The following is a 16864-nucleotide window of genomic DNA, read 5'->3' as shown; positions in this document are numbered from 1 at the left end:
AGAAGCCATCTACAGATTCAATGCAGTCTGTATCAAAATATCAATGTTATTTTCAATAGAAATAGAAAAAAAAATACTAAAATTTGTATGAAACTGATAGAGACCAAAGAGCCAAAGCAACTCTGAGCAAAACAAACAAAACTAACGGCATCACAGTACCTGACTTCAAAATGTATTACAAGGATACATTGACCTAAATGGAATTGTATTGTGTAAAAACAGACAGACCAATGAAAGAGAATTCAGAACCCAAATGTAGATCTGTGTATTTACTGCCAAGAGTGTTTTTTAACAAAGAATCCAAGAACATGCATTGGAGAAAGAACACCTCTTCAATAAATGGTGCTGGAAAAACTGGATATCCACATAAAGAAGAATAAAACTGCATGGCTATCTTTACCATGTACAAAAATCAACTAAAGGTAGATAACAGACTTAAATGTAAGACTCATACTATAAAACTACTAAAAGAAAACATAGGAAAAATACTTCAGGACATTGACCTCGGCAAATATTTTATGGCTAAAACATCAAAAAGCATGGGAAACAAAACCAAAAATAGACAAATTGGATAGTATTAAACTAAAAAACTTCTGTACAGGAAAGGAAACAACAGAGTGAAGAAACAATCTATTGAATGAAAGAAAATATTTGTAAGCTGTTCATCAACAAGGGACTAGTATTCAGAATATATATGAAACTCAAACAATTCAGCAGTTAAAAAGATTTATATTGGCCAGGCATGGTGGCTCATGCTTGTAATTCCAGCACTTTGGGAGTCCAAAGCACGAAAATCACAACGTCAGGAGTTAGAGACCAGCCTGGTCAACATGGTGAAACTGTGTCTCTACTAAAAAAAAATACAAAAAATTAGCTGGGCATAGTAGCAGTCACCTGTAATTCCAGCTACCCAGGAGGCTGAGGCAGGAAGAATTGCTTGAACCCGGAGGGCAGAGGTTGCAGTGAGCCAAGATCTCACCACTGCACTCCAGCCTGGGCAACAAAGTAAGACTCTGTCTCAAAAAAAAATTTTTTTACATTAAATAATGAACACATGCCAGGTATAGTGGCTCACATTTGTAATCCCCACACTTTGGGAGCCCAAGGCAGGCAGATCACATGAGGCCAGAAGTTTGAGACCAGGCAGGCCAATATGACAAAACCCCTTCTCTACTAAAAATACAAAACTTGGCCAGGCATGGTGGCTCATGCCTGTAATCCCAGCACTTTGGGAGTCTGAGGCAGGTGGATCGTGAGGTCAAGAGATCAAGACAATCCTGGCTAACATGGTGAAACCCCGTCTCTACTAAAAACACAAAAAAATTAGCTGGGCATGGTGGCAAGCGCTTACAGTCCCAGCTACTTGGCAGGCCGAGGTAGGAGAATGGCATGAACCCAGGAGGCTGAGGTTGCAGTGAGGTGAGATAGTGCCACTGCACTCCAGCCTGGGCGACAGAGCAAGACTCCATCTCAAAAAAAAAAAAAAAAAATTAACTGTTTGTAGTGGCACATGACTGTGATCCCAGCTACTCAAGAGGCTGAGGCACAAAAATCTCTTGGACCTGGGAGGTGGAGGTTGCTGTGAGCTAGAATATCACTGCACTCTAGCCTGAGCAATACAGCAAGATCCTGTCTCAAAAAAATAGTGGGCATAGTATGTCAACAGAATTGTCTCAAGACATGCAAATGGCCAAAAGGTATACTTTTCAAATTGTCAACATCACTAATCATCAGAGAAATAAAAATCAAAACAAAAATATGATATCATCTTACCCCAGTTAAAATGATTATTATTAAAAAGTTGAAAAATAACAATTACTGGCAAGGATATTGAGAAAAGGGGACTCAAACACTGCTGGTGAAAATGTAAATTACTACAAACCACATTGGAAACAGTATAGTGATTTCTCAAAAAAAAATCACAAAAAACAAAAGATAGAACTGTCATATGATTGAACAATCCTACTTTGGGTATATGCCCCAAGTAAACTAATTCAGTATATTGAAGGGATACATGCACTCTCATGTTTATTGCAGCACTATTCAAACAGCAAAATATGGAATCATCCTAAGTGTTTACTGGTGTATGAATGAAAAAAGAAAATATGATCTTGAATTATATATATGTATATATCATTGTGTGTATATATACACATTTCCATTGTATATAGGATGGGTAAAATGTGGAGGGATAAAAAGGTCGTTGGCTAATGGATACAAATATACAGTAAGATAGGAGAAATAAGCTCTAATGTTTAATGGCAGAGTAATGTAACTTTGTTAAAAACAAAGAACTGCATATTTCAAAATAACTAGATGAGAGGACTTGGGGTATTTCTGACATGCAAGTCCTTGAGGTGATAGACACCCCAGATATAGAGACTGGATTCTTACACCTTCTATGCATATGACAAAATATGATATGTACCACATAAATATATAAAAATATTATATATCAATTTTTAAAAGCTGCCTTTAATAGCTTGAATAATATAAAATTAGACATTTTATTTGCTGACATTTGCAAATATTTTTTATTAAGAAAAGATACTAAAGGCCATCAGTGCTTTTTACAGCTTTCATTTTCTTTTTTTTTCTACTAATTTATAAAAAAAGAATAGAAATACTGCATATAACTTTTATAATGTCCCTTTCCCCAGTTGATTTGGCTCACAATAATATGAGGGCAATTCTGGTGAATAAAAAAGAAGGATATTGAACATCATAATTTAACTGCATACTAGGCTCTGCTACATAAAGAGAGAAAGAGTGAGAGTTGTTACCTGAAAGACTAAGCAGGCTCATATTTTAATAATAGACAACATCAGGATATTGAAAAAAAAAGGTGAAGAACTGCAACAAAAATTCCTGGATAATTTAGGTCCTTAAAAGTTCTGTCCTTAGCAAACATATTCAGTAGATAACAATGAAGAGAAGAAAGACTTTAGACAAGGAGCTGATAAGAAATTTTATTACAACTTCAATTTTGGATGGGAAAAATCTCTCTTCCATGAAAAGTTGCTGCCTAAGTTTGTTATCACAAGGTTTGGTTTTCTATTTACTCTTCCTACATAATATTTGAATTTCTAATTAAAAAATTCAAAACTTACTCTTAACTATGTGATGAGTGGAATAACTATAAAAAATTAAAGATATATTGCAGTGAGATACACACAGGTTTCCTAGAGTTAAATTTTCACTGAAAATGAATTCACAATGCAAAAGTCTATTGTTTACAAGGAAAGAATTCAAGAAATCCAGCAAATAGTAAAATTAAATGGAATGGTGTAGAATTTTGTTTTATTTTTGTTTACTATTTATGGGCTACATGTGGAATTTTGTTACATGCATAGATTGCAGAATGTTAAAGTTGAGGCTTTTAAAAAAATTTATTTTACTTTAAATTCTGGGATACATGTGCAGAACACGCAGGTTTGTTACATAGGTGCCATGGTAGTTTGCAGAACCCATCAACCTGTCATCTAGGTTTTTGTTTGTCTGTTTGTTTTGAGACAGAGTCTCGCTCTGTCACCCAGGCTGGAATGCAGTGGCGTGATCTCGGCTTACTGCAACCTCTGCCTCCCGGGTTCAAGCGATTCTCCTGCCTCAGCCTCCCAAGCAGCTGGGACTATAGGGGTGCTCCACCATGCCCAGCTAATTTTTTTGTATTTTTAGTAGAGACAGGGTTTCAACATGTTGGCCAGGCTGGTCTCAATATCCTGACCTGGTCATCTGTCTGCCTTGGCCTCCCAAACTGCTGGGATTACAGGTGTGAGCCACCGTGCCCAGCTGCATCATCTAGGTTTTAAGCCCCGCATGCATTAGGCATTTGTCCTAATGCTCTCCCTTCCCTTTTGCCCCATACTCCAATAAGCCCCAGTGTGTGATGCTCCCCTCCCTGTGTGCTTGTGTTCTCATTGTTCAACTCCCACTTATTAGTGAGAACATAAGATGTTTACCTTTCTGTTCCCGTGTTAGTTTGCTAAGAATGATGGTTTTCAGCTCCATGCATGTCTCTGCAAAGGTCATGAACTCATTCTTTTTTATGGCTGCATAGTATTCCACATTTTCTTTATCCAGTCTGTCATTGATGGGCATTTGGGTTGGTTCTAAGTCCTTTAGGGTATCCATTGCCTAAATAATGTACATTTTACACATTAACCAATTTATCATCATCCTTTTCATCTCATATCTTCACACTTCTGAGTCTACATAATGTATCATTTTACTCTTTATGTCTATGTGAACAACTTTCTCTAAGAATAACTTGTGAATGAGAACATGAGATATTTGTCTTTCTGTGACTGACCTATTTCACTTAACCTACAACAATGACCTCCAGTTTTATCCTTGTTGCTGAAAAAGACGTGATTTTGTTCTTGTCTATGGCTGAATACTATTCTATTGTGTATCTATGCCAATTTTTAAAAATCCGTTAATTCATTGATAAACACTCAGATTCATCCCATAGTTTTGCTACTATAATGAGTGCTGTAATAAATTTACAAGTGCAGGTATCTTTTTTGATATATCAATTTCATTCCTTTATGGAGATATCCAGTCTTGGAACTGCTGCATTGAATGGCAGTTCTAATTTTAGTTCTTTACAAAACCTTCATTCCACTTTCAATAGAGACTATCCTAATTTATATTTCCTCCTGTGTATTAAAGTTCCCTCTTCTGCACATCTTCATCAGCATCTATTATTTTTTGTCTTTTTAGTAATCACATTCTATTAATATTAATATTTATGACTAAAATGAGATGATATCTCATTTTAGTTTTGATTTTCATTTACCTGATAATTAGTTATGTTGCACATTTTTATATACCCATTGAGCATTTTATGATTTTTTTGAAAAGTCAATTCATGTTCTTTGCCAACTTTTTAAAGTCATTATTTGTTTTCTGTTGCTGCTTGTTCTTGTTGAAATGTTTCAGTTTCTTTTGTGCTAGATATTAGTCCCCTGTCAGAGGAATAGTTTGCAAATATTTTGTCCCATTCAATAGGCTGTCTCTTCATTCTATTGATTATTTTGCTGTGCAGCTTTTTAGCTTTTAATTAAATCTTATTTGTCTATTTTGTTTCTGTTATTTCTACTTTTGAAGATTTAATCCTGTGTTATTTACCTCAACTGATGTCCAGAAGAGTTTTTTATAAGTTTTCTTCTACTATTTTATTATCTTTGGTCTTTTATTTTAGTCTTGTACGATTTTTGCATATGGTGTGAGATATGGATCCAGTTTCATTCTTCTGCATGTGGCTATTCACTTTTCTGAGCATCATTTATTGAAAAGGGTGCCCTCTACCTGTTGAGGACAAATTGCCCCAGAAAGCTTCTTGGTACTGCCAACACTCCTCACAAAACTTTCTGTGCTGCCCACCCCTCCACTAATGCTCTGCAACACTTCTCTGTGCTGCCCACCCTTCCCCCAAGCCTCTTTACATTTCTAAGCCCTTATCTGGGCACCATAATGAAGCCAGCAGACTTCACTTATTAGACCTTGCTGCGATAATCAAACCCTAATTACAAAACATCCAGACCACAAAGGGGGAGGTCATGGGAAGCATAAACAAACTTTACCTATACCCTCCTGTAATAAATATCACAAGGTGATATGTGGCAAAATTAACCAGCAAACAACCCTGGGATGCGGCCATATCAAAGAACTTCCTCAAACTCCGCTCCCCAGTATAAACCCCTCATTCTGTAAGTTTGGGGCTGCTTTCCTTGACTGTTAAGAGGGGCAACTGGCAGGTCAATAAAAACTCTCTAGCCTGACTTTGGGTCTAGTTTTCCTTTCTCTCAGCTGACCTTACACTGCTCATGTGTGTTATTATCCACTTTTGTCAAATATCAGCAGGCAGTTGTGGAGAAAAGCAAGAGAGATCAGATTGTTACTGTGTCTGTGTAGAAAGAAGTAGACATAGGAGACTCCATTTTGTTCTGTACTAAGAAAAATTCTTCTGCCTTGAGATTCTGTTAATCTATAACGTTACCCCCAACCCCGTGCTCTCTGAAACATGTGCTGTGTCAACTCAGAGTTAAATGGATTAAGGGCGGTGCAAGATGTGCTTTGTTAAACAGATGCTTGAAGGCAGCACGCTCCTTAAGAGTCATCACCACTCCCTAATCTCAAGTACCCAGGGACACAAAAACTGCGGAAGGCCGCAGGGACCTCTGCCTAGGAAAGCCAGGTATTGTCCAAGGTTTCTCCCCATGTGATAGTCTGAAATATGGCCTCGTGGGAAGGGAAAGACTTGACCGTCCCCCAGCCCGACACCCGTAAAGGGTCTGTGCTGAGGAGGATTAGTATAAGCGGAAGGCATGCCTCTTGCAGTTGAGACAAGAGGAAGGCATCTGTCTCCTGCCCGTCCCTGGGCAATGGAATGTCTCGGTATAAAACCCGATTGTATGTTCCATCTACTGAGATAGGGAAAAATCGCCTTAGGGCTGGAGGTGGGACATGCGGGCAGCAATCTGCTTTGTAAAGCATTGAGATGTTTATGTGTATGCATATCTAAAAGCACAGCACTTAATCCTTTACATTGTCTATGATGCAAAGACCTTTGTTCCCGTGTTTGTCTGCTGACCCTCTCCCCACAATGGTCTTGTGACCCTGACACATCCCCCTCTTCAAGAAACACCCACGAATGATGAATAAATACTAAGGGAACTCAAAGGCTGGGGGGATCCTCCATATGCTGAACGCTGGTTCCCTGGGTCCCCTTATTTCTTTCTCTGTACTTTGTCTCTGTGTCTTTTTCTTTCCTAAGTCTCTCGTCCCACCTTACGAGAAACACCCACAGGTGTGGAGGGGCAACACACCCCTACAGCAGTAAATCTGTGGCATTACATTGGGGTTCAGTATTTTGCTTCTTTGATCTATATGTCTATTTTTATGTGACTACCATGCTTTTTGTTATGATAACATTATAATATAATTTTTTTATTATTATTATACTTTAAGTTTTAGGGTACATGTGCACAATGTGCAGGTTAGTTACATATGTATACATGTGCCATGCTGGTGCACTGCACCCACTAACTCATCATCTAGCATTAGGTATATCTCCCAATGCTATCCCTCCCCCCTCCCCCCACCCCACAACAGTCCCCAGAGTGTGATGTTCCCCTTCCTGTGTCCGTGTGTTCTTATTGTTCAATTCCCACCTATGAGTGAGAATATGCGGTGTTTGGTTTTTTGTTCTTGCGATAGTTTACTGAGAATGATGATTTCCAATTTCATCCGTGTCCCTACAAAGGACATGAACTCATCATTTTTTATGGCTGCATAGTATTCCATGATGTATATGTGCCACATTTTCTTAATCCAGTCTATCATTGTTGGACATTTGGGTTGGTTCCAAGTCTTTGCTATTGTGAATAGAGCCGCAATAACCATACGTGTGCATGTGTCTTTATAGCAGCATGATTTATAATCCTTTACGTATATACCCAGTAGTGGGATGGCTGGGTCAAATGGTATTTCTAGTTCTAGATCCCTGAGGAATCGCCACACTGACTTCCACAATGGTTGAACTAGTTTACAGTCCCACCAACAGTGTAAAAGTGTTCCTATTTCTCCACATCCTCTCCAGCACCTGTTGTTTCCTGACATTTTAATGTTCGCCATTCTAACTGGTGTGAGATGGTATCTCACTGTGGTTTTGATTTGCATTTCTCTGATGGCCAGTGATGGTGAGCATTTTTTCATGTGTTTTTTGGCTTCAAAAATGTCTTCTTTTGAGAAGTGTCTGTTCATGTCCTTCGCCCACTTTTTGATGGGGTTGTTTGTTTTTTTCTTGTAAATTTGAGTTCAATGTAGATTCTGGATATTAGCCTTTTGACAGAGGAGTAGGTTGCGAAAATTTTCTCCCATTTTGTAGGTTGCCTGTTCACTCTGATGGTAGCTTCTTTTGCTGTGCAGAAGCTCTTTAGTTTAATTAGATCCCATTTGTCAATTTCGGCTTTTGTTGCCATTGCTTTTGGTGTTTTAGACATGTAGTCCTTGCCCATGCCTATGTCCTGAATGGTAATGCCTAGGTTTTCTTCTAGGGTTTTTATGGTTTTAGGTCTAACATTTAAGTCTTTAATCCATCTTGAATTGATTTTTGTATAAGGTGTAAGGAATGGATCCAGTTTCAGCTTTCTACATATGGCTAGCCAGTTTTCCCAGCACCATTTATTAAATAGGGAATCCTTTCCCCATTGCTTGTTTTTCTCAGGTTTGTCAAAGATCAGATTGTTGTAGATATGTGGTGTTATTTCTGAGGGCTCTGTTCTGTTCCATTGATCTGTATCTCTGTTTTGGTACCAGTACCATGCTGTTTTTGTTACTGTAGCCTTGTAGTATAGTTTGAAGTCAGGTAGTGTGATGCCTCCAGCTTTGTTCTTTTGGCTTAGGACGGACTTGGCGATGTGGGCTCTTTTTTGGTTCCATATGAACTTTAAAGTAGTTTTTTCCAATTCTGTGAAGAAAGTCATTGGTAGCTTGATGGGGATGGCATTGAATCTGTAAATTACCTTGGGCACTACGGCCATTTTCATGATATTGATTCTTCCTACCCATGAGCATGGAATGTTCTTCCATTTGTTTGTATCCTCTTTTATTTCCTTGAGCAGTGGTTTGTAGTTCTCCTCGAGGAGGTCCTTCACATCCCTTGTAAGTTGGATTCCTAGGTATTTTATTCTCTTTGAAGCAATTTGTGAATGGGAGTTCACTCATGATTTGGCTCTCTGTTTGTCTGTTGTTGGTGTATAAGAATGCTAGTGATTTTTATACATTGATTTTGTATCCTGAGACTTTGCTGAAGTTGCTTATCAGCTTAAGGAGATTTTGGGCTGAGACAATGGGGTTTTCTAGATATACAATCATGTCATCTGCAAAGAGGGACAATTTGACTTCCTCTTTTCCTAATCGAATACCCTTTATTTCCTTCTCCTGCCTAATTGCCCTGGCCAGAACTTCCAACACTATGTTGAATAGGAGTGGTGAGAGAGGGCATCCCTATCTTGTGCCAGTTTTCAAAGGGAATGCTTCCAGTTTTTTCCCATTCAGTATGATATTGGCTGTGGGTTTGTCATAGATAGCTCTTATTATTTTGAAATACGTCCCATCAATACCTAATTTATTGAGAGTTTTTAGCATGAAGGGCTGTTGAATTTTGTCAAAGGCCTTTTCTGCATCTATTGAGATAATCATGTGGTTTTTGTCTTTGGTTCTGTTTATATGCTGGATTACATTTATTGATTTGTGTATATTGAACCAGCCTTGCATCCCAGGGATGAGGCCCACTTGATCATGGTAGATAAGCTTTATGATGTGCTGCTGTATTCGGTTTGCCAGTATTTTATTGAGGATTTTTGCATCAATGTTCATCAAGGATATTGGTCTAAAATTCTCTTTTTTGGTTGTGTCTCTGCCAGGCTTTGGTATCAGGATGATGCTGGCCTCATAAAATGAGTTAGGGAGGATTCCCTGTTTTTCTATTGATTGGAATAGTTTCAGAAGGAATGGTACCAATTCCTCCTTGTACCTCTGGTAGAATTTGGCTGTGAATCCATCTGGTTCTGGACTCTTTTTGGTTGGTAAGCTATTGATTATTGCCACAATTTCAGATCCTGTTATTGGTCTATTCAGAGATTCAACTTCTTCCTGGTTTAGTCTTGGGAGAGTGTATGTGTCGAGGAATTTATCCATTTCTTCTAGGTTTTCTAGTTTACTTGCATAGAGGTGTTTGTAGTATTCTCTGATGGTAGTTTGTATTTCTGTGGGATCGGTGGTGATATCCCCTTTATCATTTTTTATTGTGTCTATTTGATTCTTCTCTCTTTTTTTCTTTATTAGTCTTGTTAGTGGTCTATCAATTTTGTTGATCCTTATAATATAATATTTTGACATCAGGTAATGTGATGCTTCCAGCTTTGTTTCTATTGCTCATGATTCTTTTAGCTACTCTGGCTCCTTTTTTGTTCCATCTACATTTTAGAATTATTTTTGCTAATTCTGTGAAAAATGACAGTTGTATGTTAATATAATTGCATTGAACCTATAAATTGCTTCAGGCAGTATGGTTATTTTAAAAATATTAATTTTTTCTATCCATGAGCATTGGATAGTTTATTTGTGTCATCCTCAATTTGTTTTATCAATCTTTTTTTAAGTTTTTCTTCGTTAAAATTAATTAATTAATCTTCTTAGTTAAATATATTTCCCTAGGGTTTTTTTTTGTTCCTATTGAATATGGGATTTCCCTCTTGATTTCCTTCTCAGCTAGATCATTTTTAATTTAAAGAAATGCTACTGATTTTTTTTAGGTGAACCTGTAGTTATTTCTAGATATAAGATCATATAATGAGCAAAGAGGAAAAGGACTTCTTTTCCAACTTGGAAGCATTTTATCTCTTTCTCTTGCTTGATTGTTCTGGCTGGAATTTCCATACTATGTTGAGTAGGAGTGGTGAAGGTGGATAATATTGTCCACTTCTAATTCTTAGAAGTAATGTTTTCAGCTTCTGTAGATCTAGTGTGATGTTTGCTGTGGGTTTGTCATATAAATAGCCTCTATTATTTTGAGATATTTCTTCTATACCTAGTTTGTTGAAGATTTTTCTTATGAAAAGATGTTTAATTTACTATTTGCCATAGAATATATATTGTGGCACCCTCAGGGTGGCATATCAGACAAAAAATCTCAATTACCGTAGCATTTTGCTTAATTATTATCCTTATAGCAGGAATAATGGTTACTAACAGAAAATAACACACAGGCCTTTCTAAACACACACCTCTGCCTCTCATTAGGTAAGGTATGTTGTTTCTGTATCAACCAATCAGGCCTAGTAAAAATTACTGCTGAAAAACTTAAGGAAAGGGCTAAAAAGCTAAAAGAATATCAAAACAACCAAATAAATTCTTGGTTTGGGAACAAAATTGTAGCATGTTCCTGGCCCCTCTTCTAACAATATGCTTGGGACTAATGTTCTTACCCTACCTAATTTACCTTTTTCAAAGATTTTTAACTCACAGGATCATGGCCTTTTCACAAACAACTACCCAAAACCATCTACAGACAGCATTGCTTCTGCAGTCAACCCAAGACCAGAAAACCGTTCATCCCCTTGTCAGCAGGAAGTAACCAGAATGAAAACACCATCTCTCCTCCTTTTTTCAATGATAAGGTCTGGATTGACAGAGCAGGAGCACTGCCATCTTGGACAAGCCCCTAATTCTAAAGTTCACTTTAATAAAAACCACCTAAATCCAAAGGGCATCAGCTTAATGGCTAAGGTTGGCATGACCATAAACCACAAATAACATCTCCAACGAGAAACATTTCAGACTCCTCCTTGTCCAGAGACATGTTAGCCCCAAGATAAGCCTTCTCCATCCAGGAAGATGCCAGCCTCGAGATAACCCCTTCTGGGCTGGTAAGATGTCTGCCCCAAGATAACCTCCCCTCCTCCCAGAGAGATTCCAACCCCACCATAAACTTCTCCACACACATAAACATTCCAAGCTTCTAAGCTCCCCCCACCCTAAAACCAATATATACCCTTAGTCTGTAAGAGAAAGGGCTCCTGACCGAAATTGGCCAGGGGCGCCTCTTAGGTTTTAACTAAAGAAAACCTGTCTTTGACTGCCAAGCTGTGTTTCATGTTTCTTTCCTCTTTCTTTAACTCTTACACACCCAAACATGGTGATTCCCACTGCCTTCTTCTTGCCCTTGCCCTAACATGTGCCTGGCAACATGGCCTCCCCAACATATCCCCACATGTGTAGAACATCATGGCATCCTGCATTTGCAATTAAAAAGCTAGGGTGAGAGGGCCAGATTTTTCACGGGCTATGTGAATGACATGCCTGGTCAAACCAATCCCGTCACCCCTATGCAAATTAGACACTACCTCCTCCAGCCTCCTCATAAAAGTGGCTGGTTTCTGTCACACTCACAGTTTCCTCTCATGACTTGGAATCCCTCTCCCTCTGTCTCTGTATGGGGGAGCTTCTTCCTTCTTCCTTGCCTATTAAACTCTCTGCTCCTTAAAACCATTCCATGTGTGTTTGTGTAGTTTTATCCAATTCTACTCAAGATGAAGAACCCTGGTGTTTCTCCACTCATTGGAGCCGTATCAAAATGAATTACCTGCAGTTCTTGGGTAGATATACTGTAAATGCTTTTTAGGTTCATTTCGTGTAAAGTCTAATTTAAGTCCAGTCTTTCTTTACTGTGTGAACCCAAAATATCTGAACTAGGTCTCTGTTAATTTAAAAAGTTTATTTTGCCAAGGTCAAGGATGTGTGCCAGGAGGTCCTGACATGTGCCCAAGGTGGTCAGGGGACAGCTTGATTTTGTACACTTTATAGAGACATAAGACTTGTCAATATGTCAGATACACATTGTTTCCACTGAGAAAGGTGGGACAACTCAAGCAGGGAGGGGGCTTCCAGGTCACAGGTAGGTGAAAGACAAATGGTTGCATTCTTTTGAGTTTCTGATAAGCCTTTCCAAAGGAGGCAATCAGATATGCATCTATCTCAGTGAGAAGAGCGATAACTTTGAATAGAATGGGAGGCAGGTTTGCCCTAAGCAGTTTCCAGTTTGACTTTCCCCTTTAGCTTAGTAATTTTGGGGCTCCAAGATTTATCTTCCTTTCACAGTTGATTTTTTAAAATCTAAATGATCTGTTTAATGCTGTGAGTTGAGTGTTGACATCCCCACTATTATTGTATTGGGATATATCTCTCTTTCTGTTTAGTAATACTTATTTTATGTATCTGGGTGCATCAGTGTAGGGTGCCTATACATTTAGAATTGTTTTAGTCTCTTGCTAAGTTGATCCCTTTATCATTAAATAATGACTTTCTTTGTCTTTTCTTACTGTCTTTAACTTTTTCTTACTGTCTTTAACAAAAAACATCTGCTTTTTTGGTGTTTAACAATCTTTAATTCAAATATAAAAGTTCAATACAAGCCATTAGAAGGGATTGGGATTTCTTGCTGTTTTAAATGGGGAAATGCAAAAAAAAAAAAAAAATTTTTTTTTACACTTTTCAAAAGCTTCCAAGGAAAGTGTAGATCATAGGGCCATAAAAGATCCATTTAACTTTCACTCATGTCTGTGTGAAGAGACCACCAAACAGTCTTTGTGTGAGCAACAAGGCTGTTTATTTCACCTGGGTACAGGCGGGCTGAGTCGGAAAAGAGAGTCAGTGGAAGGAGATAGGGGTGGGGCCATTTTATAAGATTTGGGTAGGTAAAGGAAAAGCAGGGGTTGTTCTCTGGCTGGCAGGGGTGGGGGTCACACGGTGCTCAGCTGGGAAGCTTTTGAGCCAGGATGAGCCCAGAGAAGGAATTTCAGAAGGTAATATCATCAGTTAAGGCAGGAACAGGCCATTTTCACTTCTTTTGTGGTGGAATGTCATCAGTTAAGGCAGGAACCAGCCATCTGGATGTGTACATGCAGGTCACAGGGGATATGATGGCTTAGCTTGGGCTCAGAGACCTCACATTAACCAAACCCATTTTCACCCCCTACCAATTGTCCTACACCCATTACACAATCTTAATATATTTTCTTGAATCAAGATTTACATTTCAGCTTCACTTACATGACCATTTAAATATACATAGCACTGGTTTGTTTCCTATAATGCCAAATAAATAAGGAAATCTACTTCAATTGCATTTCTTCTTCCCTTTTTTTTTTTTTTTTTTTTTTTGAGACAGAGTCTCATACTATCTCCTGGGCTAGTGTGGCCCAGGCTGGAGAGCAGTGGCGTGATCTCGGCTCACTGCAACATCCGCCTCCCAGGTTTAAACGATTCTCCTGCCTCAGTCTCCTGAGTAGTGGGGATTACAGGCGCCCACCATGCCTGGCTAATTTTTTGTATTTTTAGTAGAGATGCGGCTTTGCTATGTTGGCCAGGCTGGTCTCAAACTCCTGACCTCGTGATCTGCACACCTCGGCCTCCCAAAGTGCTGGGATTACAGGTGTTAGCAACTGCGCCCGGCTGATTCCTTCTTTCTAAAACAAGGGGGGCAGTTATTTGTAGAAAGCAGTATTTAGCCTCCAGATACATTTTCCAGAAATGGCAAATGCCATTCAAAGGCCTTGACACTTTCATGTTTCAAAGTGGGATACCTAGTCTAATATACATATATGCATGAATGGCAAAGTTGAAGATCAACATTATAACTATTTAGGTATTTATTTGAAGCAAAGTACAAAAATGGTAGCACAGGCTGGGCACAGTGGCTCACACCAGTAATCCCAGCACTTCAGGAGACTGAGGCAGGGGGATCATTTAAGGTCAGGAGTTTAAAACTAGCCAGGCAAACATGGTGAAACACCATCTCTACTAAAAGTACAAAAATTAGCCAGGTGTGGTGGTGGGTGCCTGTAATCCCAGCTACTTGGTAGGCTAAGGCAGGAGAATTACTTGAGGCAACCTCTGGGAGGCAGAGGTTGCAGTGACCAGAGATGATGCCATTGCACTCCAGCCTGGGCAGCAGAGTGAGACTCCATTTCAGGAAAACAAAACAAACCAACAAAAACATGGTACCACGAGGTACACTGACATTACTTGGGCATTATACTGTTGAAAAAAAATGAGGAGGTGAAATAAAAAGGGAAAATCTTTATTTTATTTCTAACACTATATTACATAATTTTATCTGCACAAAACATTTAAAAGTATTAAATCAATAACCTGCTAACATCCATAAAAAGGTAGTTTTCTTACTAAAATGCAATAATGTAAATGATTGGTATCTAAACAAGAAAAGACAGTAAGTAATTGGAATGAAACTCTAGATATTACATATCAAATTGGTGTTCTTTGAGACTTTATACTCTTCTCTCCCTCTACAATATCCCTGTGGAATTCTGGGCTCCATTCATCTAGGACCCTTCCCCCCACAAGTCCTGTGTCTTCTTGCCCAAATCACTCCATACACATGACACTTTCCTTCATGGATCCACTCGTGGTTTCTAATGGAATTCTAAAATTAGTGTCATAACCTATGCCATCATTATCATCTAGAGGTGGACATTTCTGGCCTCCTGAACCATAGGGATCTCCTGTGCCACCCATTCTCATATCTCTTTCTCTTGGATCCATGTAGCCCATCTGACTGTAATTTTCCTGTAATTTGGTGCCTCATCTGTTCTTCCATCCCATATCAATGAATCATCATCTTTTCCTCCTCTGTCGTTTCTCCTCTTGCCTCAATTGCATTTCTTTATGTTTCTGCATTCCTTGATTGTGAAGTTTTTGCATGCATCATAATTCTTCCTCCTGCCTTATCAGATCTTGGTGCAAAAGATTTCCTTGATGTTCCTTGAGTGCATCTCCTATTTCACTTTCCAAATTAGTATTTTACATGATTCATGTTTTTTCAACATGATTCCTTTGCTGTTTTGTTTCATCCAAGGACTTCCATCACTAAGAATATTCAGAATTAAATGTCATATAGGGCAAAATGAGGAGCGATTTATCTCTCTTTTGATACACTGGACCCTTCTGTGAAATTTTTTCAAGAATACTGTCATCACCATTTAGTTGTTCGAGTGGTTTCACAATGACTAGATGAGGAGTTGTCAGTAAGAAAACATCTTTACTGCATCATTCAAATGCCTTTCTTGCTACTACTAATCTAGAATAAATTCAACAATGCTTTTTCCTATAGATATTCCATGTTCATCCATTATTAAATGGTCCTTTCAATAGCACCAAGCTGGTTAAAAGTTTCTTCCAATAGTTCTTTGGAAACATAATATTTATGGTGAACAACAACAAAAAAGTACAGCAACATATGTGGCTAAGCAGACTTGAAGTTGACCACCTCCAATGTTTAACAAACAACCAAAAGCACTGTATGTAACTTTTCTCTCCATGCTTTAGGAGATAGAAATTGGCTTTAAACTTCTTCTAAACTGAGGTCTTATTGTGGCCACAGAGCCTGCCAGGCAGGGGCCTTTACTCATACTGCTGGTGGTAGGGCAGGTGGTGCTGGTGGCTTCTAAGGGCTCCCCACAACTTTAATGTGGTGGCTTGTGGTGGCCACCAGGAGTGCTTGTGAGGCAAGAGAATAGGGTCTGGAGGCAGGAAACATCAAACCAAGTCACACTGACTTCCTATAACTAATCAAATGGCAACAGTTCAGCTATCACAGGAAATATCCTCTTCATTTACATAGGGTATACACTGAGTAAATGACTTCGTAACTTTACCTCATCTGTTCATTTCCATAGGGCATACACCAAGTAACCAATGGAAACCTCAAGAGGGCATTTAAGCCCCAGAAAATTTTGTAATTGGCCTCTTGAACCCCTATGCTTGGGTCCACTCCCACGCTGTGAAGTGTACTTTTTTTTTTTTTTAAGATGGAGTTTTGCTCTTCTCGCCCAGGCTGGAGTAGAGCGGTATGATCTCAGCTCACTGTGACCTCCACCTCCCAGGTTCAAGTTATTCTCCTGTCTCAGCCTCCCGAATAGCTGGGATTACAGGCACCTGCCACCATGCCCGGCTAATTTTTGTATTTTTTAGTAGAGATGGAGTTTCGCCATGTTGTCCAGGCTGGTCCTGAACTCCTGACCTCAGGTTGCCCACCCACCTCAGCCTCCCAAAGTACTGGGACTACAGGTGTGAGCCACCATGCCCAGCCATGTACTTTTGTTTTTAATAACTCTCTGCTTTTGTTGATCTTTTCCTTGCTTTATTTGTGCATTTTCACCACTTCTTTGCTCAAAATGCCAAGAACTTGGACACACTCCATTCGTAGCATATTTTGGCAAGCCAGCCAGAAGTTAAGCCCAGAGTTTGGCATTTATTTTTCTCCTTTTCCTTTGTGGTC

General features: G+C 38.9%; 1 pseudogene; it reads right to left on the bottom strand.

Annotated features, from left to right (window-relative positions):
• Positions 12935–15856, bottom strand: SFPQP1 (splicing factor proline and glutamine rich pseudogene 1; annotated as a pseudogene).

Source organism: Homo sapiens, chromosome Y (genome assembly GCF_000001405.40).
Source record: "Homo sapiens chromosome Y, GRCh38.p14 Primary Assembly".
Taxonomy (NCBI): domain Eukaryota; kingdom Metazoa; phylum Chordata; class Mammalia; order Primates; family Hominidae; genus Homo; species Homo sapiens.
This window is presented reverse-complemented; position numbering and strand designations above follow the sequence as displayed.